At 40.0% G+C, this 22,992-nt stretch overlaps 2 long non-coding RNA genes and 3 other non-coding genes across 5 annotated transcripts; 2 read left to right on the forward strand and 3 right to left on the reverse strand.

Annotated features, from left to right (window-relative positions):
* Nucleotides 1-29: 29 nt before the first annotated feature.
* Nucleotides 30-103, forward strand: TRI-AAT7-2 (tRNA-Ile (anticodon AAT) 7-2). The gene has a single exon. It is a non-coding gene; the product is annotated as a tRNA-Ile (tRNA).
* A 450-nt stretch (nt 104-553) lies between these two features.
* LOC105374992 (uncharacterized) lies at nt 554-22,992 on the forward strand. The gene is made up of 3 exons (XR_926638.2): nt 554-861; nt 14,972-15,153; nt 22,850-22,992. It is a non-coding gene; the product is annotated as an uncharacterized LOC105374992 (long non-coding RNA).
* Nucleotides 7,001-14,234, reverse strand: LOC124901289 (uncharacterized). Its single transcript, XR_007059531.1, has 4 exons — nt 13,841-14,234; nt 12,565-12,766; nt 10,921-11,010; nt 7,001-7,568 (listed from the first exon to the last, which is right to left on the reverse strand). It is a non-coding gene; the product is annotated as an uncharacterized LOC124901289 (long non-coding RNA).
* On the reverse strand, nt 15,617-15,689 carry TRNAA-AGC (transfer RNA alanine (anticodon AGC)). The gene has a single exon. It is a non-coding gene; the product is annotated as a tRNA-Ala (tRNA).
* Nucleotides 19,521-19,593, reverse strand: TRM-CAT5-2 (tRNA-Met (anticodon CAT) 5-2). The gene has a single exon. It is a non-coding gene; the product is annotated as a tRNA-Met (tRNA).

Raw genomic sequence — 22,992 nt, forward strand, 5'->3', positions numbered from 1 at the left:
AAGAGAGGTAGGGTCCGTTCCGCCGGCGGGGCCGGTTAGCTCAGTTGGTCAGAGCGTGGTGCTAATAACGCCAAGGTCGCGGGTTCGATCCCCGTACGGGCCACAGGCTTTTCTAATGTTTATTTCACGGGCCACAGGCTTTTCTAATGTTTATTTCACAGTAACAATTATGTGTAGCCACGTCAAAGCTCACAAGAGAAAAAGAATGTAAATGTGTGTGAACCCAGCAATCTACACAGACTTCTAATGCTTGTCTCACAGTAGCAACTGTGGGCAGTGATACAGAAAGTCACAAGAGAACTCACGAAAGTAAATGTATTTGTACCCAGTAACCTTGATAGGACGTAGTTCGCTGAATCGTAGGGTTGCGTTTGCAGTTCAGTGTTCCTGCAAGAGCAGATGACGAAGAGAGCTAAGATTCCAGAAAGAAATTGAAATCCGGGAGGAACGTGAAAAACAGAGACGAAAACAGGGAAATAAGGACCTGGGCTTTTCATTCTTTTACGATTTCCAAAGTGTACAAATCTTTCTCTGTCGTGACTAACTCCTGATATGGGCTTTCCTAACTGTGCATCTGCTTACTTCCCGCAGACCTGTCCTTGGCTTGTGCAGGGTAAGTAAAGCCTCTCAAGAACTCCCATTTTTCATTTCTATTTCCTCTCTTTTAGCTTCCCTCACTCAACTCTAGAGATACTGGACTTAAGGAAATGTCCCCATAGAACGCTGAGCCTTTCACCTCCTCTTTGCTCGTCTCACGGCTTTGTTAGACACGAAACCATCTTCTGGAAAATGTCTTCCCTGACACCTCTCCTACTTTTCTGAGTTTGGGTTGCTTTCCTCCTAGCACTCACGGAGATCCAGGTACGCATTTGTTTTAGCGGCATTCACCATGTTGGGATTGTCTGTTGCTTGGCCATCTTCTCCATGAGACCATAAGCTTCTTGGGGGTAGGATGCTTATTGCTAAATACTTTCAAAAGTCTGCATGAGCCAATGAAGAGTGAAGGATAGGTGTGCAGGCATGATGGAAAGAGTGTCTTGTGGTCCAAATGGGCTTCACGGGTCTGTAGAATCCATGCTATCGCAACATAGTGCATTTTGGTCAGACGAACAATAGGCTACACTATATGGTGATTGGCTCCATTTCACTGAACGTACCTCTAAGGCTCTGAGTGGCTCTATATGCCCCCCAGGACTGGATAGTGGTAAAGGACAGAGCATGCGCAATAGATCCAAAGTCAGGCAAGGTCTGAAATGTTTAACTTTGCTGAGGCTGAGAGACAGGAATGAACCCTCTTCCGCGATGGGAATTTCTACTCCACTGATCCATAGTAAATAAAACAGCGAGCCAATGCACCTCAAACCTCTATTTTCTATTACATTAATGTGATTGGTTTTGACATTTTCAAAATTCAAGTGATCACAATGATTTAGAACTAATGTTTACAAAACTATAATTTAGGAAATCCTTAGCTGTAAGCAGACACACCTACACAGAATAAAGAGAGTGATATGCCCTTTACTTCAGTGTCATTTATAACACTGGGGTAATAATACTTGGGGAAGCTGAAAAACTATATTGACCGACTTACGTAAAAATTAAGAAACATTCAGTATAATTTCTAGCACATAGTGCTGAAAACCTCCTTGTATGTGGAATATTGTTCACCTTTAAGGAAAATGCTTTCAAGGTCTGAGGAGAGATAGTAACGCATTTCTGTTGCTACTGGCTGTTTTGCTCATTTAGTTGTAGCAACAAGCTTCTGTGAACATAAAAATGAAATAACGCTTAAAAAAACAAAATAGATGGTGGAGGAACACAATAGGGATGCAAAGTAAGGTATGATTTTCTAGGCAAAAATTGAGCTGTACAAAATAATGTAGTAAAGGATTTGTGCCTGATTCTTTTTTGTATCCCCTTTGAAGCTTATTTAGCTTATATTCCAAGGCCTCAATTGTCATCCTTCTCCCAACAAGACTGTTTCTCTGTACCACGAACATTCTGGTGAAATTCTCTGCTTAAGCATCTTGACCTCTTGAGCACTCATCTTTGTACTGAGACCCCGATATATGCCCAAATGATGCCCTTCCATAGGAGGGTTTCTTGTTTTGCCCAAAGAGCAATCAATTTTTCAAGCAATTTAGGGCTCTTTCCTCACTCGGGGTCTATGTGAAACCTTAGAGGGAAGCCTGTTCTTTCCAGGAAGAGAATCCCGGTGGGTTCTAACCTCAACCTGTAAATCCACTAAGCAAGCTCCTACTGAACACCTATGATGCAAGCTCAATCCAAGAGGCCAGCACTCTGCAAGGGGAAGGCAACCAAAGCAATAGGTAATGCTTACTGAGCAGTTCTTATTGATCAGATCCCTCTCTAGGTGCTGGGATCCAGCCAGAGAATCCCACAGTCCTCATTTCCTACGTGAAGAAAGATGATTGAAGGAAGGAGCAGGAGTGGGGAGTGGGGAGGGGGTGGAGGGTGGGTAAAGGATGTCTTCAAGGTGACAACTTCTCAGATTCCGCTCCTAAAAGCTTCTGAATGGGCCATCTCCACACTCCCAAGTCCCTTACTGCCTGTGGGTTCCTTCCCAGTAGACGTTGTCACATAACATCTTATGTATTTTTCTTGTTTGCTTCTGATCTGTTTCTCTTCACCCCTATCAACTAGAAACTAGCTTCGCAAAGGTGAAGAATATATGCGTTTTTTCACTGTTGAATGGCTGTACCCCGAACAGTCTCTTAACAAGATACGTGCTCGAGAAATACATGTAGGATAAAAGAATAAATGACTTCACCCACTCACCTCATAATTACAATTGGGTAACCTTGAGAGCAGAAAGCTCGACAAAAAATTTCCTGTTTCTTCCATCAGCTAGTGAGAAAGACCAATTATATGATATAGCTTGCAGTTTCTTCTGTAATCTATATCCCTTTACCACTCATTTTACTCAAACCACTGACAAGCCAAAAAACAAACAAACAACAACAAAAAAACTCCAAAAAACCGAAATCACTTTTCCATTCTAAGCTAATGTTGAGTCAGTCTTCAAACTGTTATCTCATAGCATTTGCATTTCATTATTTAGTGCACCCATTTTGTTTCCCTCAACTGAAATAGCAGCAAAAACTGTATCCTCTCTGATGTTCAAACTCAAAACCTTTAGATTATGAGATTGATGTGTGGCCTGCTGCAGAAAGAGGGCGGTTCTCACCCAAGAATTGACATCCCACGTGCTATTTTCCCAAGCACTGCTGCTTTATCAGTTCCTAACTTTCAAAGAACACAATCAATGGTGCTTGGAAATCACTCTTTATCAGCCAATCCTGCACCCAAAGAATTTTATCCTCAGGACAGGTGGAATCTACCCATTTCTAGTATTCATCTAACAAGACGACCATCTTGAGGCAAGAGGCCAAGAACAATTGTACCTGTTTTGCTGACTTTTTCCCTCTTGTGGCCCAGTGATCTGACTTCTCCCTCCTTCAGAGATCTTAATCACTCTTACACCTCCTATGGTGTCCTTTTTTGAAAAGACACACAGGACATGTTCAGTCCATAATAGTTCACTGACTGACCAACTGAACGAATGAAGGAATGAAAAAATAGTCTTTAAAGGTGTCTCCTGTCCATACTACTGTGTCTTACTCTCTATCTCCTCTTGCATCTACACGACTGGAGACAATCCTGCTACAAAAAGTGTAAAGCAAATCTTGTATGCCATTAATTATACTAAGAGATTTATTGAATTTACTTCATGTAGTCCAACAGAGTTTCACCAACAAAACTATGTGTCCTAATCTGGACTTTCTAGAAGTAATGGAACCTCAGATAAGTTTTGTTTCCAAGGTGCCAGAGCTGCTAAGTGTCAAAGCTTGAACTGAGGAGAAGATGTTTTAGATTTTAAAACGTGATTCTTTCTCTGCTCCAGTTCACAATCTTACTCCCTACTCCTCTCCACAGCACCCCATTCATTCACACACCAAATATCTCATTCCCCAAATCCCCTTCACTTACCTTTTGGGCTTTGTTTCCAAGTCAACTTTTGACACATTTTTCTCCTTCAAACACCACATCCAGTGATTTGTGAAATAGTAAACATTATTCCTGCACAACATTTTTGAACCTGTCAATTCCTTTCCATTGATTCAGTACACATTCACAGGGAAGATGCTCTGTGCCAGACACTGTGGTAAGTTCAGGAGATTCTAAAGATTCAAGCAGCCCAGACCTCAAGAGAAGGCAGGACAAATATGGAGAAGGGAAGATCCACGTCCAGTTTTACGATTTCAGTCTCCGTGTCATGTCATTTACAGCTAAATAACCCTTTCAAAAATGTCAGTTTCAATATATCACTCTTTTGCACCCTGAACATTCCTGATTTCCTAGTTATAGCATGATCTTGTTTTTCTTTTATTTTTTTTCTCTTCTTTCTACCCAAATTGTGATTTTGCTGTAGAAAGTTGATTGATTAGATCCATTGCTGTATGGATGTTGTTCGGGTCTCAAATGTGTTTACTGATTTATTGTCTACTGGATCTATCAGTTACTGAGAGGGGACTGTTAACGTCTGCAAATGTAATTGGATTTTTCTATTTTTATCTGGATTATCCAATTTTGCTTACGAGTTTTGAAGCCCTGTGTCCTTATATGCATTTGGGACATTATTTCTCTGGTGTGTTGGCACCTCTAATTATGTAACAGCCCCCTTTATCCCTGGAAGTTTTCTACAATTTAAAATCTGGTTTGTCTGATTTGAATATATCCACCACAGCTTTCTTTGAGTAATGCCTAAATGACATATCTTTTCCCATTCTTTACTTTCAATATGCTATATAACTTTTAATCTCACATATAAGTATATTACTAGTGACTTTCCTGTAGTCAGCATATTCATTTATAATACATTCTGACAATTTCTGGTTTTCAATTCATTGTTTTAGATCATTTACATTTAATGTTTTTATAGATAAGTTTTTAGGTAGATCTATTGTTTTTCTTTCTGAGATGGAGTCTTGCTCTTGCCACCCAGGCTGGAGTGCCATGGTGCAATCTCCCCTCACTGCAACCTCTGCCTCCCAGGTTCAAGTGATTCTCCTGTCTCAGCCTCCCAAGTAGCTGGGATTACAGGCACCCGGCTTCATGCCTGGCTAATTTTTTGTATTTTTAGTAGAGACAGGGTTTCACCATGCTGGCCAGGCTGGTCTCAAACTCCTGACATCAGGTGATCCAGCCACCTCGGCCTCCCAAAGTGCTGGGATTACAGGCGTGAGACGCCGTGCCCAGCCGATAGATCTACTTTTTAATAATTTATTAATCATTTGTTCCCCTTGTCTTAATTCTTCTATGTTCTTCTTCCTAGTTTATTTTGGTTTATTTAAATCTGGTTCCTAAGTGGTCTAGGGATCACCATATACATATATAACCTTTCACAGTATACGTAGAATCAATATTTTACCATTCAAGTTGAATATAGAAACTTCATCAGCAGTTAGGCCCTTTACCTTTACCCTTTTATGTTATGTATGTAGCACATCTAGATACAATGGCAACTGCATCAGATAAAGTTACAATTTTTGCTTTCAATCATGAAACATACCTTAAGGAACTCAAGAGAAGAATAATAGTCTGTAATGTCTACCCAGACATTTTCTATTTCGGCTTTCGTTCCTTCACTGATGGTGTCCTGTCTCTTTCTGGTATCATTTTTCTCATCTTAAATCGTTGCTAATTCTTGTCCAGCAGTTCTACCAGCAATGAATTCTCTCAGTTTACCTTCCTGTGAGAATGTATTTATTTACCTTTAGTCTGAAAGATATTTTTGCTCTACATAGCATTCTGGGTTGACAGGTCTTTTCTTTTGGTATTTAGTAAATGTTTCCTTGGGCCCCTATGGTTTCTGATGAGAAGTCCACAGTCATTCAAGTGGCAGTTTCCCTTTTATTTTCATTTGGCTGCCTTCAAGATTTTTATGGTTTTCCTTAGTTTTCAGCAGTTTGATTATGATGTGTCTGGGTATGGATTTCTTTGGGTTTAACCTACTTGACATTTATTGAACTTCTAAAGTGTTTTGATAAATTTGATATGTTTTCAGCCATTAATTCTTCGGAGTTTTCTTTCTGGAGGACCTCTTTCTCTTCTTCCTGCAGGATTACAATGATGTGTTAGATTTTTCTTATTTTTCTGTTTGTCCGGGAGGCTCTGTTCATTTGCAAAAGCACTCCTTTTTCTCTATTGTTCAGGTTAGGTTGGTATTTTTGTTCTGTTTTCAAGTTCATTGACTTTATTCTGAGTGTCTCAATTTTGTTATTGAAATAACCCATTGAAGTTTTTTTTCTCCTAATAGTTTTGATGAATACATTTTTTAATTTTTAAGTTTAAAATCAGTGTTTAGAGCTTCCAGATACTTGCTAAGACTTCCCAACTTTCCATTCACTTCAAGAGTGTTATCCTTTCATTCATGGAGCATTGTTGTAATAACTGCTTAAAAGTATGTGTCAGATGATTGTAACATCTGTGTCTTCTCAGTATTGTTATTCGAGGATTCTCTTTGCCAAGTGAATTAAGATTGCCCTGGTTCTTCATATGCTGAATATTTTGGGGTTGTACTTTGCATTATGTGATGAGACACTGTGTCTTGTTGAAATCTTAAGGATAATATTGCTATTTTTGTTTTTGCAGGCATGTGATTGCCTTGTGTTCAAGTTCCAATAACCAGCCAGCCTTGTGTGTTGTAGTTTCAAAGTCGATTCTATTTTCAAAGCCTTAACACTGCTATTCAGAGACTCTGGAGTATGTGCAACCCAGTGGCCAGTGAGGACTGGAAAGTAGGCTATCACTTAGTTCGATTCTCAGGCTCTTTTTAGATAAGTTGTCTTTGATCAGAGCCACTTATTCACAGCTCACAGGCGCATCCAGGAGTTCACATACAACTTGACAGGTTTGCTCTCCACAGTGTCTTTCCTGGTTACTTGGCAACTCCTAGTTTCGGTCTCCCGATCAGAAAGCTGGGGCTGTATTTACCTGAGTGGCTCTGCCCTGCGCTTTCCATAATTATGCTGCATTTAGGACCAAGCTGCAGGAGGAAACAGGGAGAATAAGTGCAACTGGATATGTCCCTTTGTATCACAGCTCCTCAAAGAAACAGAAAACTAATTACACATCGATAGATCTATACTATACCACATACCAGTAGAATCTTAGTCAAGCCCGTATTGTTGCTGCCCTTACATAATGAGCCAAAGAAGTGTCCAGGCTGCTACTGAGATGAGTGTCTAACTTACTGTTTTCTGAGATCAGTGTCTAACACATATTTTTTTCCACTGTAACCTGGAGACCTGAGGTCCGACTAGTGAAACCTGGAGAATGTGGGCATCAATCCCACTACCTCTCACATGCTAAGCGAGCACTCCACCACTTGAGCTACTTCTTCATCTCACAGCATCTTTTTTCATCCTTAGTGGGCAGTCTAGAACACACGCGACTTCAAGGCCTTCACCGCGAAAGCAGGGCTCCACTAAGAGCAGATCTTCTCATTGATGGCCCAGGGCAAGAGTGCAGTGGGTACTTATTCTCTGTGAGGAGGGAGGAGAAAAGGGAACAAGGAGAAAGTCACAAAGGGAAAACTCTGGTGTTGCCAAAATGTCAAGTTTCACATATTCCGAGACGGAAAATGACATGTCCCACAGAAGGACCCTGCCCAGCTAATGTGTCACAGATATCTCAGGAAGCTTAAATGATTTTTTTAAAAGAAAAGAGATGGCATTGTCACTTGTTTCTTGTAGCTGAGGCTGTGGGATGATGCAGATTTCTGGAAGGCAAAGAGCTCCTGCTTTTTCCACACCGAGGGACTTTCAGGAATGAGGCCAGGGTGCTGAGCACTACACCAGGAAATCCCTGGAGAGTGTTTTTCTTACTTACATCTGAGACATGTGTTGTCTTCTTGCTAAGGTGTGTCATGTAAAAGTTACATATCCAACTGCATGGCAGAACAATAATAACAAAAAAATGCAGATAAGAGGCATAAAGAATAAGAGACAAAGATCATATCAGAGTGAAAGAATAAAGAAAACACATTCAGCAATGCAGAGAAAGAGTGGACATAGGGTGGAGAAAACCTAGGGTAGGTATAGGGTGGAATGTTTGTAGGAATTCCTGTGTAAAGAAATATGCCTGTTCAATTTAAGTGGAGTGTGTGTGTGTGTGTGTGTGTGTGTGTGTGTGTAAAATATACACGGAGGGAAGTAGTGATTGAAAAGCCTGGATGCTTGGAGATATGTTGGGAGAATATTATAAAAGCTAAAGACTCATTGAAAAAATTCCAGGTAGAAAAGCAGCATTTTAGGGAAAGGTTTTTAGTTTTAAATGTCAAAGAACTTGAAAATGGAAAAACTGGATCTGGGGAGAAAGAGAAAGAAGTCATAAAGATATTAAAGGATTGAGATTTATCCACATTGACTGTGTCAGTTCCTGAGGTGAACAGCATGAGTCTTTCTGCAGCTTCAATCCCCTTCACACTTCATGGTGAAGAAAACATCCTCCATGAACATCATAGCATGGATAAAGAAGGAGGTGAGTAAAACAGAAGAAAAAGATTCTGCAGAGTTTATGCAGGAAGGATCTACAGTATTTGTCAAGACATTGGGTGGAGAGATTTGAGGGAGAGGAGACAAAGGCACTGGCAAGTCTTGAGCCCGGTGTGGCAGACACAGAAGAGATTTTGAATTCATATCTGATCGATGCAAGAATAAATCCACTCATTTATCTGTATTTGGTAAATGAATGAATGTTACATGAGTGAGCTGGTGTGAAGAAAATAGATGATAAGACTATGTGCTAGACTAAAGCAAGAGCTTGTGATTTTTTTCATTGAGAAAGAAATCTGCTTCTCATATCTGGTTTCCCTCTTTAAAGTTATGTGATCTAAGGAAAATGGTTTAACTGCTCTGAGCTTCAGTGTCATCTGTAACACTAGGGTAATAATACTTGGGGAAGCTGAAAAACTATATCGACCAACTTACATAAAAATTAATAAACAGTCAGTATAGTTTCTAGCACATAGAGCTGAAAAATTCTTGAACGTGGAGTATTGTTCACCTTTAAGGAAAATGTTCTGAAGGTCTAAGGAGAGAGATCAGTGCAGTTTTGTTGCCATTGGCTGATTTGCTCATTTGTTTTGTAGCAATAAGCTTCTGTGATGATAAAAATGAAATAAAGTTTAAAAAGTAAAATAGATGGTGGAGAAACACAATAGGGATGCATAGTAAGGTATGATTTTCTAGGCAAAATGGATTTGTACAAAAGAATGTAGTAGTAAAGGATTTGTGCCTGATTCTTGTTGTATTATTTTTGAGTCTCATTTAGCCTGTATTCTAATTCCCCAATTGTTGTGATCCTTCTCCCAACAAGATTATTTCTTTGCACCGTGAACATTCTGGTCAGATTCTCTGCTTAACCATCTTGACCACGTGAGCACTCATCTTTGTACTGAGACCCTGATATAGGCCCAAATGATGCCCTTCCATAGTGGCGCTTCTTGCTTTGCCCAAAGAGCATTCAATTTTTCAAGCCATTTAGGGCTCTTTCCTCACCCGGGGTCTATATGAAACCTTAGAGGGAAGCCTGTTCTCTCCAGGAAGAGAATCCCGGTGAGTTCTAACCTCAACCTGTAAATCCACTAAGCAAGTTCCTACTGAACACGTATGATGCAAGCTCAATCCAAGAGGCCAGGGAGAAGGCAACCAAAGCAGTAGGTAATGCTTACTGAGCAGTTCCTATTGCCCAGATCCATCTCTAGGTGCTGAGATCCAGCCGGAGAATCCTAGAGTCCTCATTTCCCATGTAAAGAAAGACTATTGGAAGAAAGGGAAGCTAAATGATATCTTCAAGGTGACAACTTCCCTGATTCTTCTCCTGAAAAGTGAATGTGTCACCTCCACACTGCCGAGTCCTTTACTGCCTAATGACTCCCTCCCAGTAGATAATATCACATGACTTCTTGTTTATTTTTCTTTTTTGCTTCTGTCTCTTTCTCCCCACTCCCCCCAACATTGACGTAGTATCACAAAGGTGAGAATATCTGTATTTTATTCACTGCGAATTGCTATACCCAAAACAGTCTCTTAACAAGATATGTGTTGAGAACTATCGGTTGGACGCTTAAAAGAATAAAAGACTTTACCCACCCCACCCCATAATTATGTTTGGATGACCTTCAGAGCAGGCAATTGGAAGAGAAATTTCCCCTGCCTCCCCTGTCAGCTAGAGAGGTAGACATAAGACATAGCTTGCAGTTTCTGGTGTAATTTATATGCCTTCACCACGCCTTGTACTCAAGCGACTGAGAAGCCAAAAGAAGGAAAAAATAAATAAAGACAGACAGAGAAAGGAAAGGAAAGAAGGAAGGAAGGAAGGAAGGAAAGAAGGAAGGAAGGAAGCAAGGAAGAAAGAAAGAAAGAAAGAAAGAAAGAAAGAGAAAAAGAAAGAAAGAAAAGAAAAGAAAACTCACTTTTAAATTTTAAGCTAATATTTGGTCTGTCTTGAAATCATTATCTCATAGCATTTGTGTTCCATTATTTATCACACCTATTTCATTTCTCTTAATGGAAATAGCGGCATAAGCTGTGCCTTGTCTCATGTTCAAACTCAGGACCTTCAGAATACGAGATTGACAGGTGGCCTGCTGCTCTAAGAGAGCAACTGTTCCTAAGAGGTGACATCCAGATTATTAAATCTCATTTCCCACGCACTGCTGCTTTATCAATTCCTAGCTTTTAAAGAACACAATCAATGCTACTTGGAAATCACTCCTTATCAGTCAATGCTGCACTGGAAGAATTCCCCACTCAGGACAGGTGGAGTCCACCCGTTTCCAGTATTCACATAATGATAGGACCTTCTGGCTTGAGGGACCAGACACAATTGTACCTGTCTTGCTGCTTTTTTTCCTCTTGTGGCCCAGTCATCTAGCTTTTCCCTTCTTCAGAGATCTTAGTCATTCTTCCTTTCCGTAGTCTCCTTTGTTGATAAGAAACAGAGGTAGTGCTCAATTCATGATAGTTCATTGAGTGACCAACTGAATGAATGAAGGAAGAAATAGCCTTCCAAGGTGTCTGCCATTCATACTACTCTTACTGTGTATCTACACTTGCATCTCTATGACTGGAGACATTCACTCAACAAAAAATACAAACTAAACTTTTAATCATATCCTCCCTGTTTTTCCTCATATTTTTGTGCCGTGAATTATACTAGGAGACTTAGGGAGTTTACTTGATGTAGTCTGATTGACTTTTGCCAACAAAATTATGCCTTAGTATGCACTTTTTAGAAGTAATAGAGAATCAGATAGGCTAAGTGCGTTTTTGTTGTTGTTGTTTGTTGTTTGTTTGTTCTGTGAGACGGAGTCTCGCTCTGTCTCCCAGGCTGGAGTGCAGTGGCCCGATCTGGGCTCACTGCAAGCTCCGCCTCCCAGGTTCAGGCCATTCTCCTGCCTCAGCCTCCCGAGTAGCTGGGACTACAGGCACCCGCCACCATGCCCGGCTAATTTTTTTGTATTTTTTCAGTAGAGACAGGGTTTCACCGTGTTAGCCAGAATGGTCTCTATCTCTTGACCTCCTGATCCGCCCGCCTCGGCCTCCCAAAGTGCTGGGATTACAGGCGTGAGCCACCGTGCCCGGTCAAGTGTTTTTTTTTTTTTTTTTTTTTTTAAATGCCAAAGCTGCTAAGTGGGAAAGCCCGAATTGAGAAGCAGATATTTTTAGATTTTGCATGTGATTTTTTTCCCTCTGCTCCAGCTCACGGTTATTCTGCCCATTCTTTTGCACTTTAGCTCATTCACTCATACACCAAATATCTAATTCCAGACCTCCTCTTTACTTACCTTTTGGGCTTAACTTTTTAAAAATTTTTTTTAAAAATTTTTTTGAGTTGGAGTCTCACTCTGTTGCCCAGGCTGCAGTGTAGTGGCACAATCTTGGCTCACTGCAACCTCTGCCTCCTGGGTTCAAGTGATTCTTCTGCCTCAGCCTCCCGAGTAGCTAGGACTACAGGTGCCCCGCTAGTTTTTGAATTTTTAGTAGAGACGGGGTTCCACCATGTTGGCCAGGCTGGTCTCAAACTCCTGACCTCAGGTGATCTGCCTGCCTTGGTCTCCCAAAGTGCTGGGATTACAGGTGCGAGCCACTGCGCCCGGCCTGGGCTTAACTTTTATATTTTATTTTATTTTATTTTATTTTATTTTATTTATTTTATTTTATTTTATTTCATTTCATTTCATTTCATTTTAAGACAAGGTGTCACTTTACTGCCAGGGCACTGGTGTGATCTCTGTTCACTGCAACCTCCGCCTCCCGGGTTCCAGTGATGCTCCCACCTCAGCCTCCTGAGTAGCTGGAACTACAGATGCATACCACCACACCCGGCTAATTTTTGTTTTTTTTTGTAGAGACAGGATTTCACTGGGTTGCCCAGGCTGGTCTCAAACTCCTGGCGTCAAGGGATCTGCCCACCTCGGCCTCCCAAAGTGCTGGGATTACAGAAATGAGCCACCACGTCTGGCCTTGGGCTTACCTTTCAAGTCAACTTTGATTCATTGTCTTCCATCAAACACCACATTCAATGATTTGCCAAATAATGAACATTATTCTTGCACAACTCTTTTGAATCTATCAATTACTTTCCACTCATTTAGTACATATTCACTGGGGAGATGCTCTGTGCCAGACACTGTAGTAGGATCAGGTAATTCAGAGGAAGTATAGACACCCTAGACCTCAAAAGAAAACAAGATAAATATAGATGAGGGAAGATCCACCTCCAGATTCACCATTTTCAGTCTTTCTGTCATTTCCAGCTAAATAATGCCTTCAAAACTCTTTCAAAATAACTAAGTCACTATTTCAAACTCTTTCAATAATAGCACCCTTCTATATGATGGACCACTCTTAATTTCCTGGTTATAACATGATCTTACTTTTCTTTTAATTTTTGTCTTTGCTTTCTGGCTAAATTTTTATTTTGCGTTATGAAGTTGATCAGATCCATTGGTGGATGGTGTGGTTCAGTTCTCCAATATGTTGGCTGATTTGTTGTCTACTAAGTCTACCAATGACTGAGAGAGGAGTTTTAGTGTCTTCAACTAAAATTGGATATTTCTATTTTTACCTGGCTTATCTAATTTTGTTTATGAGTTTTGAAAATCTGTGTCCTCATATACATTTGGAACAGTATTCCCTGGAGAATGGACATTCGTAATTATCTAGCAGCCTTCATTATTCCTGAAAAGTTTCTCTGCTTTCAAATCTACTTTGTCTGATTTTAATGTATACACCACAGCTGTCTTTGATTAATGCTTGCATGAGGTATCTTTCCCACTCTTTTCCTTCAATCTGCTATATAACTTTTATTCTGATATATAAGTGTATTGCAGGTGGCTTTCTTACAGTCAGCATATTTACTTTTAATACATTCTGATGATCTCTAGTTTTTAATTAAGGATTTAGATCATTTACGTGTAATGTTAATATAGATAAGTTTTTAGATAGATCTATTTAATAATGTATTAACCTTTGTTCCCTTTGTTTTAATTCTTCTATGTTCCTCTGTCTATCTTGTTTTGGTTTATTTCAATCTGGTTAGTAAGTGGTCTAGGGATTACCATATACGTATATAACTTTTCACAGTATACTTAGAATCAATATTTTACCATTCAAGTTGAATATAGAAACTTCATCAAGAGTTAGGCCCATTACACTTACCCTTTTATCTTATCTATGTAGTACATCTCGATACAATGACAACTGCTTCTGATAAAGTTACAATTTTGGCTTTCAATCATCAAACATACCTTAAGGAACTCAGGAGAAGAAGAACAGTCTGTTATGTCTACCCAGACATTTTCTATTTCTGCTTTCGTTCCTTCATTGACGATGTTCTAAGTTTCCTTCTGGTATCACTTTTCTTATCTCAAATCTTTGCTAATTCTTTTCCAGCATTCTTGCTAAGAATGAGAATGTATTGACTTACCTTCCAATGAGAATGCATTTATTTGCCTTTATGTCTGAAAGATACTTTTGCTCCACATAGCATTCTGGGTTGATAGGTCTTTTTCTTTTGTTACTTACTGAACATTATGACATTTTTTTCTGGCCGCTATGGTTCCTGATGAGAAATCTACACTCATTCATATGGTAGTTTCTTTTTCATTTTCCTTTGACTGCTTTCAAGATTGTTTTGTACTTTCCTCGTTTTCAGCAGTTTGATTATGATACGTCTTGAAATGGGTTGGGTTTCTTTGGGTTTATCCTGCTTGACCTTTGCTGAACTTTAAAAACCTGGTTTATATCTTTTGACAAATTTGATACATTTTCAGCCATTAATTCTTCAAAGTTTTATCCCACAAAGACCTCTTTGTCCTCTTCTTTTCAGATTACAATAATGTGAATGTTAGATTTGCTATTTTTTAATTTGTCCCTGAGCCTCTGTTCATTTACAGAAATACTCCTTTCTCTCTATAGCTCAGATTATGTAGGTATTCTTGTTCTGTTTTCAAGTTCGTTGACTTTTTCTTAGTCATCTGCATTCTGTTATCGAGATCATCCAGTTAAGCTTTTTATTTCCCCTAAGAGTTTTGGTTAATACATTTTTTTAAATTCTTAAGCTTAAAATTGGTGTTTATATATTCCAGATATTTGCTGAGACTTTCCAACTTTCCATTCACTTCACGAATGTTATCCCCTAATTCTAGGAGCATTGTTATCATAACTGCTCCACTGTATGCGTCAGATGATTTTGACATCTGTGTCCTCTCAGTATTGTTATTCGAGGAGTCTCTTTGCCATGTGAATGAAGATCTCCCTGTTTTTTTCATAATGCCGAAGATTTTGGGGCTTGTAACCTGGACTTCTTTGGATTATGTGATGAGACACTGTGTTTTGTTGAAATCTTAAGAATAATATTGCTATTTTTGTTTTTGCAGGCACAAAATTGCCTTGTATTCAAGTTCCAAGTACCAACCAGCCTTCCACGTGTTGTTGTTTCAAAGATAACTCTATTTGCAAAGCCTTTACGCCACTGTTCAGAGATTTCCGGAGTGTGTGCAACTTCAGTGAGGACTGGAAAGTGGGCCATTGCGCAGTTCAGCTCTCAGGCTCTTTGTAGGTAAGTTGTTTGGGATTAGAGCCACTTATTCACAGCTGGCAGGTGTGTCCACAAGCTCATGAACAACTTTATGGGTTTGCTTTCTACAGTATCTGTCCAGGCACATTCTAGTTACTTGACACATCCTGGTTTCAGTCCCCTGAGCAGAAAGCCGAGGCTGTGTTTACCCAGGTGGCTCTGCCCTGCACATTTCACGATTGTCTGAGGTTTAGGACCAAGCTGCAGGCAGAAACAGGGAGAAAAGAGCAGTTGTATATGTCCCTTGGTTTCACAGCTCCTTGAGGAAACAGCAAATGAATTACACAGTAGATCTACACTATACTGAATGCCAGGAGGGAGCCATCACCAGGCCTGTATTGTTGCTGCTCCTATGTCTTGAACCAAAGCAGCATCCTGCTCTCAGACACTAACTTGGGTTTGGATACTTGAGTGTTTGGAGACCCAAGGTCCAAATAATAAAGCTTGGAGAATGTGGGCATCGATCCCACTACCTCTTGCATGCTAAGCAAGCGCTCTACCGCTTGAGCTAATTCCCCACGTCAGGGGAGCTTTCTTGATCTTTAGTGGGTGTCCTGGAACACAGGGGATTTCAAGGCCTTCAGCGGGAAAGCAGGGCTCTACTAAGAGCAGGTCTTCTCACTGATGGCCCAGGGCAAGGCGCAGTGGCTACTCATTCTCTGCAAAGAAGGAGGAGAAAGGGAACAAGGAGAAAGTCACAAAGGGAAAACTCGTGCTGCCAAAATGTCAAGTTTAGGGTATTCCGGGACAGAAAAAGGCACATCCCAGCAAAGGAGGACATGTCTAGACCTGCCCAGCTAAAGTGTCAGAGATTTTAAAAAAATGATTAAATGATTAAAAATGATTAAATGATTGTGTGTGTGTGTGTGTGTGTGTGTGTGTGTGTGTGTGTGTGTGTGTTTGTGTGTGTTTATAAAAGTGGGATGGAATTATCACTTTTCCTTGTAGCTGAGACTGTCTGGGGGTTGTGAGATGGTCCAGATTTCTGGAAGGCAAAAAGCTCCTGCTGTTTTCGTAACTAGGCCATTCCACCAATGAGGCCAGCGTGCTGACCACTCCCATAGGAAACCCCTGGAGAGTGCTTCTTTCACTTACATCTGAGATATGAGTTGCCTCCTTGCTAAGGTGTGTCATGTACAAGTTACATGTCCAACTATATTTCAGAACAACAACAACAAAATTACAGAGCAGAGCCATAAAGAATAAGAGACAAGATCGTATCAGAGTGTAAGAATATGTAAAATATAGTGTAAGAATCAAAATTGAGCTATGCAGAGAAGGAGTGGACATATGGTGGAGAAAACCGGGCTGTTTGTAAGAATTCTTGTGTAAAGAAATAAACCTGTTCAATTTAAGTGGAGAGTGTGTGTGTGTGTGTGTGTGTGTGTGTGTGAAATACACATGGAGGGAAGCAGTGATTGAAAAGCCTGGCCACTTGGAGATATATTGGGAGAGTTTTATGAAAAATCCCATGACTAACTGAAAATATCCCAGGCAGAATGCTTAAATAATTAAAGCAACATGTTAGAGAAAGGTGTTTAGTTTTGAATGTCAGAGCTTGAACATGAGAAAACAGGAACTGGGGAGAAAGGGAAAGAAGTCATAAAGATATTAAAGGATTGAGGTTTACCCACATTTATCATGTCAGCACCTGAGGTGGACAGCAGAAGTCTTTCTGCAGAGCTAGTGCCCACGACACTTCATGCTGCAGAACACATCCTCCGTAAACACTGTAGCATGAATGATGACAGAGGTGAAAGAAAAGGAAGAAAAGATTCTGGAGACGTTGTACAGGAAGGATCTACTTTATTTGTCAAGATATTGGGTGGAGAGATTTGAGGGAGAGGAGACAAAGACACTGGGACGTCTTGAGCCTAGTGTGGTAGACACAAAAGAGATTCTGAATTAATATCTGATGAATGAATCCGCTCATTTATTTGTATTTGTTATGTGAATGAATGTTACATGAATGACCTGGTGTGGAGAAAACAGATGGCGAGACTATGTGCTAGGGTAAAGCAAGAGCTCAAGTTTTTTTGTTTTTGTTTTTTAATTTAGAAAGAAATCTGCTTTTCATATCTGGTTTTCCTGTTTAAAGCTACGTGATTTGAGGAAAATGGTTTAACTCCTCTGAGCTTTACTGTCATCTACAAAATTTAGATAATGTTACTGAGGGAAGCTGAAAAGTCGTATCAACCAACTTATATAAAGAATAATAAACATTCAGTTCCATTTCTAATGCATACTGCTGAAAAGTCCTTGTATGTGGAATATTGTTCACCTTTAAGGAATCTGCTCTCAAGAGCTGATGAGGGACTATTTAAGTGCAGTTCTGTTGTCACTGGCTGTTGTGCTCATTTAGTTGGAACCAGCAAGTCTCTGTGAACATAAAAATAAAATAAAGATTGTGGAGGAATAGAATATAAACACATAGTAAGGTGAGATTTGCACAACAGAATATAGTAAAGATTTGTGCCTGATTCTTTTTGCATTCTCTTTGAATCATTTTTAGCCTTTATTCTAAGTCCCCAGTTACGGTTATCCTTCTCCCAACAAGATTGTTTCTCTTCACCACGGATATTCTGATGAGGCTCTCTGCTTAACCATCTAGACCTCCTGAACACTCTGTTTGTCCTGATAACCTGATTTATGCTCAAATGATGCTCTTCCACAGCAGGGCTTCCTGCTTTGCCCAAAGAACATTCAATTTCTGAAGCCATTTAGGGCTGTTTCCTCACCCAGTATCTATGTGAAACCTTAGAGGGAAGCCTATTCTTTCCAAGAAGAGAACCCTGCTGGGTTCTACCCTCAATCTGTAAATCCACTGGGGTAACTGGGATTAGCTCAGATTAGCAACTGGGGTTAGCTCAGCTACTCCAGAGCTTGCTCTCTGGGAACGGATGGTGCTGCTACTTCCCATAAAGGCTGACTAAAAAGAGGCATCTGCAGGCAGGAGAAAGCGCTATGGCAGTTGCTGGAAGATTGCTTCTGACCATTGGCTATCTCTCTGACCTGATGGGAGAAGGGTGACAAAAATTGGACACTTGAAAAACAGGCCAAAAAAAAAAAAAAAAATCAAAGGAATTTTAAAAGAACCATGCACAAATTCTTAATTAGATTCTTTTATCCAAATCCATTTTGTCTGGAAAATTATGCCTTAGTATGTATCTGTATTCTATTCCTCCATAATCTATTTTATTTTATTTTATTTTATTATTTTATTTTATTTTATTTTAATGTTCACAAGAAGCTGGATGCTAGCTACCAAATGAGCAAATCAGCTACGACAACAGAACTGCCCTAAAGTCTCCCATCAGATATTGATGTAGTCAAGACCCTCATGAGTGCCTATGATACAAATTCAGTGTGAGAGGCCAGCTTTCCACAAGGAGAAGGCAACCAAAGCGGTAGCTAATACTGAGCAGTTCCTATTGCCCAGATCCATCTCTAGGTGCTGAGATCCAGCCAGAGAATCCCACAGTCCTCATTTTTCATATGAAGAAACATGTGAGGGATTGACAACCCCAGTCCTCATGTATCATCAGTTTTCCAAGGAAGCCAACTAGCCTTCTGGGCAAAAAGCTCTCCTAACCCCCAGTTGCCTTGATAGGTAAAAGTACTCTTATGACAGTGTTAGAAAAACACGGGCACAAGTGTTCCAGCAAGATGGCTAGAAGAAGGCAAGGCTAAAGTTGTCAAGGTGACAGAGTCCCTGATTGTCCTCCTGAAAGCTGAATGTGCCACCTCCACATTCCCAAACCCTTTACTGCCTAGCGATTCCCTCACAGTAGACATCGTCAAATCACTTCTTACATATTTTTGATTGTTTCCTGTCTGTTTCTCCCCACTCCTCCCAAGTATGATGTAGTTTCGCAATAGTAGGAATATTTGTGCTGAATACACTTTCACCCCACTCCTCCCAAGTAGGATGTAGTTTCACAGTGGTAGGAATGTTTGCGTTGTATTCACTCTTGACCCCAGTCTCTTAACAAGATATGTGTTCAAGAAATATTTGTTGGATGATTAAAAGAATAAATGACTTCACCCATCCACCCAATAATTAGTGTGAGGTGACCCTGAGAGCGGGAAGTTGGAAGAGAAATTTCCCCTGCTTCCTGTGTCAGCTAGAAAGACCAATTATATGACATAGCTTGTAGTTTCTGGTGTAATCTACTCTTCTGTTTTCACCACTCATTTTACTCAAACCACTGGAAAGTCGAAAAAACAAGAAAACCTAAATTATATTTCCATTTTCTACAAATATTGGGTCAGTCTTCAAATCCTTATCTGCTATAGCATTTGCGTTGCGTTCCGATATTTAGTGTATCCAACTTCTTTGGCAGAAGTGATGCCCTCTCTGAGGCTTGAACTCAGGACCTTCAGATTATGAGACTGACGCGCTGCCAGCTGCGCTAAGAGGGCTTGCTGTTGAGCTCGGGCAACATCCATTTTGTCGAAGTGTATTTCCCACCTACGTTACGGTTTCAGCTTTCAAAAACTACAATCAATCCTACTTGAAAATTACTCTGTATCAATCAACGCTGCACTAGGAAGATTCCATACCCACGACCAGAGGAGTCTACGCCTTTCCAGTATTTCATAGGACCGTCTGGGTTCTGCGTTACCAGGATCAATTGTACCTGTCTTTTGCTGCTCTTTTTCCCTTTTCCTTCCCTCAGAAACCTTAGTCACTCTTACACTTTCCATAGTCTCCTCTGTTGAAAAGAGACAGGAGGTTCTCAGTTCATGATAGTTCACTGACCACCTGGATAAATGAATGAAGAAATAGCCATCAAACCTGTCTCTTGATCATACTACTGTCTTCCTTCATATCTCCACTTGCATCTACATGACTGAAGACATTGCCGCTACAAAAAAAAACACAAAATACTTATAATGGCACCCTCTTTGTTTTTTACCCCTTTGTTTTTTCTTGTGTGCTATTAAGTATACTACGAGATTTCTTGCGTTTACGTAGTCCAGTTGAATTTCGCTAACAAAACGATGTATCCTAATGTGCACTTTCTAGATGTACTGGAGGCTCAGATAATTATTGTTTCTAAGGTGCCAGAGATGCTAGGTGGCAAAGCCTGAACTGACAAGCACATTTATTTTAGATTCCAAAAGGTGAGTCTTTTCTCTGCTCCTGCTCATTATCTCTCTGCCTGTTTTTCTCCACAGTAGTCCATTCATTCATATACCACATATCTAATTCTCAACCTCCTCCTGGGCCTAGATTTCCAAGTCAACTTTGACTCATTGTCCTCCTTCAAACACCACATTCAGTGATTTGCCAAATACTGAACATTATTCTTGCAGGTCTCTTCTGAATCCGTCAGTTCCTTTCTACTCATTCAGTACATATTTGCTGGAGAGATGCTCTGTGCCAGACACTGTAGTAGGCCCAGGAATTTCAGGAGACATTTGGCCAGCCCAGACCTCAAGAAAAAGCAGGATACATATGGACAAGGAAAGATTCACTTACAGATTCGCCGTTATCGGTCTTCCTGCTATTTAAGTAACTGTTTCAGAAATATCAGTTTCAATAATGTCACTTTTCTGCACTCTGACCATTCGTGATTTCCTACTTATAATATGATCTTGCTTTTCTTTGATTTTTTTGGCTCGCCTTTCTACATAAATTGTGATTTTGCTTTATAAAGTCTATTAGATCCATTGGTGGATGGTGTTGTTCTGTTCTCTAAAATGTTTGCTGATTTGTTTTCTCCTGAATCTATCAATTACTGAGAGAGGAGTGTTAACGTCTGCAACTGTAATTGGATTTTTCTATTTTCTTTCTGGTTTATCCATTTTGTTCATAAGTTTTGAAGCTCTGTGGCCAGAAACAGACATATTTAGGACAGTTGTGTCCCTTCGGTGAATAGACGCTTTATAATTATATAACATCTGTCTTTCTATCTGAGGGCCTCATCTCGTGTTAGGCAAGTGAGTGAGATAACCTCTACACTACACTGAGGAAACCCTCAGACTTCCTAAATCTAAGATAGATATATCTAAGATATTCAAGGTATGTATATATCTTAGATTTCTAAGATATATAGGATATATTTATGTTAGATTTATATATATATATATATACACATACTTATATTCAAGTCTTTTTAAGTTACATCATATAGAACTCACATATTCACATCACATAAGAAAACAGCAAAAATCACAAAAGTATTACAGACAAGAACCATGGGGATTAAAAGATCAGTTTGTAGTAAAGGGATAAATATGAACCTTGAAGGATGCAGATGAGGAAGAATGCACATGAGTTTGAAGGAACAGGCATAGATGTAGGAATTCCTGTGTGAGGAAACATGCCTGTTCACTTGGGATGTGTAGTGCACAAGTGCATATGTGCCTGCTTGTGTGTGTGCCTGTTTATAAAATGAAAGGAAGTAGTGATTGAAATGCCTGTGCACATGGAGATAATGATTGGGAAAACATTGAGACTTAAGAACCCTTGAAAAAATTGCAGACAGCTTACATAACCAAATTAACATTTAAGAAAAAGGTGTTTAGTGTTGGATGTCAAAGAGCTTGGGAACAGGAAGACTGTAATTGAAGAGAAATGGAAAGAAGTTATAAATAGATTAAAGAATTGAGGTTTATTCACATTTATTCCGTCAGCTTCTGAAGTGAACAGCATGAGTCTTTCCGTAGCTCCAGTGCCCATTATACTTTGTGGTGCAGACTACGTCCTCCATAAACGTGGTAGAATGGGCAAGAGAAACATGAGTGAAAGGTAAGAAAAACATTCTGGAGAGGCTGTGCAGGAAAGATCTATGGTATTTGTCAAGACATTGGTGTAAACATTTGAGGGAGAAGTCTTGACACTGTGGCACACAAGAGATCCTGAATTAATGTCTGATGAATGGAACAATAAATCTAGACATTTCTAAGTATTTGTCAAATGAATAGAAGGATGAACAGATGAGCTGGTGTGGAGAAAAACAGATGATGAGACTATGTGCTAAATTACAGAATGAACAAGAGTTTGTGTTTTCTTATTGTGGTAAAATATACTTAACCCATTTTACATTTAAAATTCTAAGTGTTCAATTTAGTGGCATTACGTACATTTACAATGTGAGCAACTATCACCACTACCCATTTCCAGAAGTTTCTCAGCATCCCAAACAGCAACTCTGTACCCATTAAACAATAACTCCACATTTCCCTCTCCCCAACAACCTCTATTCTTTCTGTCTACATGAATTTGCCTATTCAAGATGTCTAAAGTAGAATCACAAAACATGTTTTTAAATTGGGAAAAAATAAGCTTTCTGTATTTGGTTTTGCTCTTTACAGCTACATATTCGCAACTCAGGGGTGCACTCGGTGAGTTGACAAACCACTTGTGGGTTTGCTTTCCACACTCTCAGCAGGACTTCCCGGTGACTCGGAACTCCACTTTACAGCGCCCTGACCAGAAAGAAAGCTGGGGTTTTACTCATCCTGCTCTGCCCTGCATTTTCCAGAGCTGTGCTGCATTTTGGCATTTTGGGTCAAGCTGCAGGAAGGAGAGAAAAGGAACAATTGGGTATATCCCACCCTCTTGGGATCTCCTCTTTCCTCTGAATAAAGAGAAAACAACTTAGAAAATGGGTACTGTCCACTGAACGTTTTAGGGGCTATTATTAGCACTGTTTCTTTATGCCCATAGGTCTTTTACCAGTGAAGCATTCAAGATGGCTGGTACTTCCTCGTTTTCTTCGACAGGTGACTAATGAAGCCGTTCTCCACGTTGTACTGTATGGACATGCGGCCCCAAGTGACAACATCGATCCCACTACCTCTCACATGCTA

The sequence above is a fragment of the Homo sapiens genome, chromosome 6 (genome assembly GCF_000001405.40).
Source record: "Homo sapiens chromosome 6, GRCh38.p14 Primary Assembly".
NCBI classification, from domain to species: domain Eukaryota; kingdom Metazoa; phylum Chordata; class Mammalia; order Primates; family Hominidae; genus Homo; species Homo sapiens.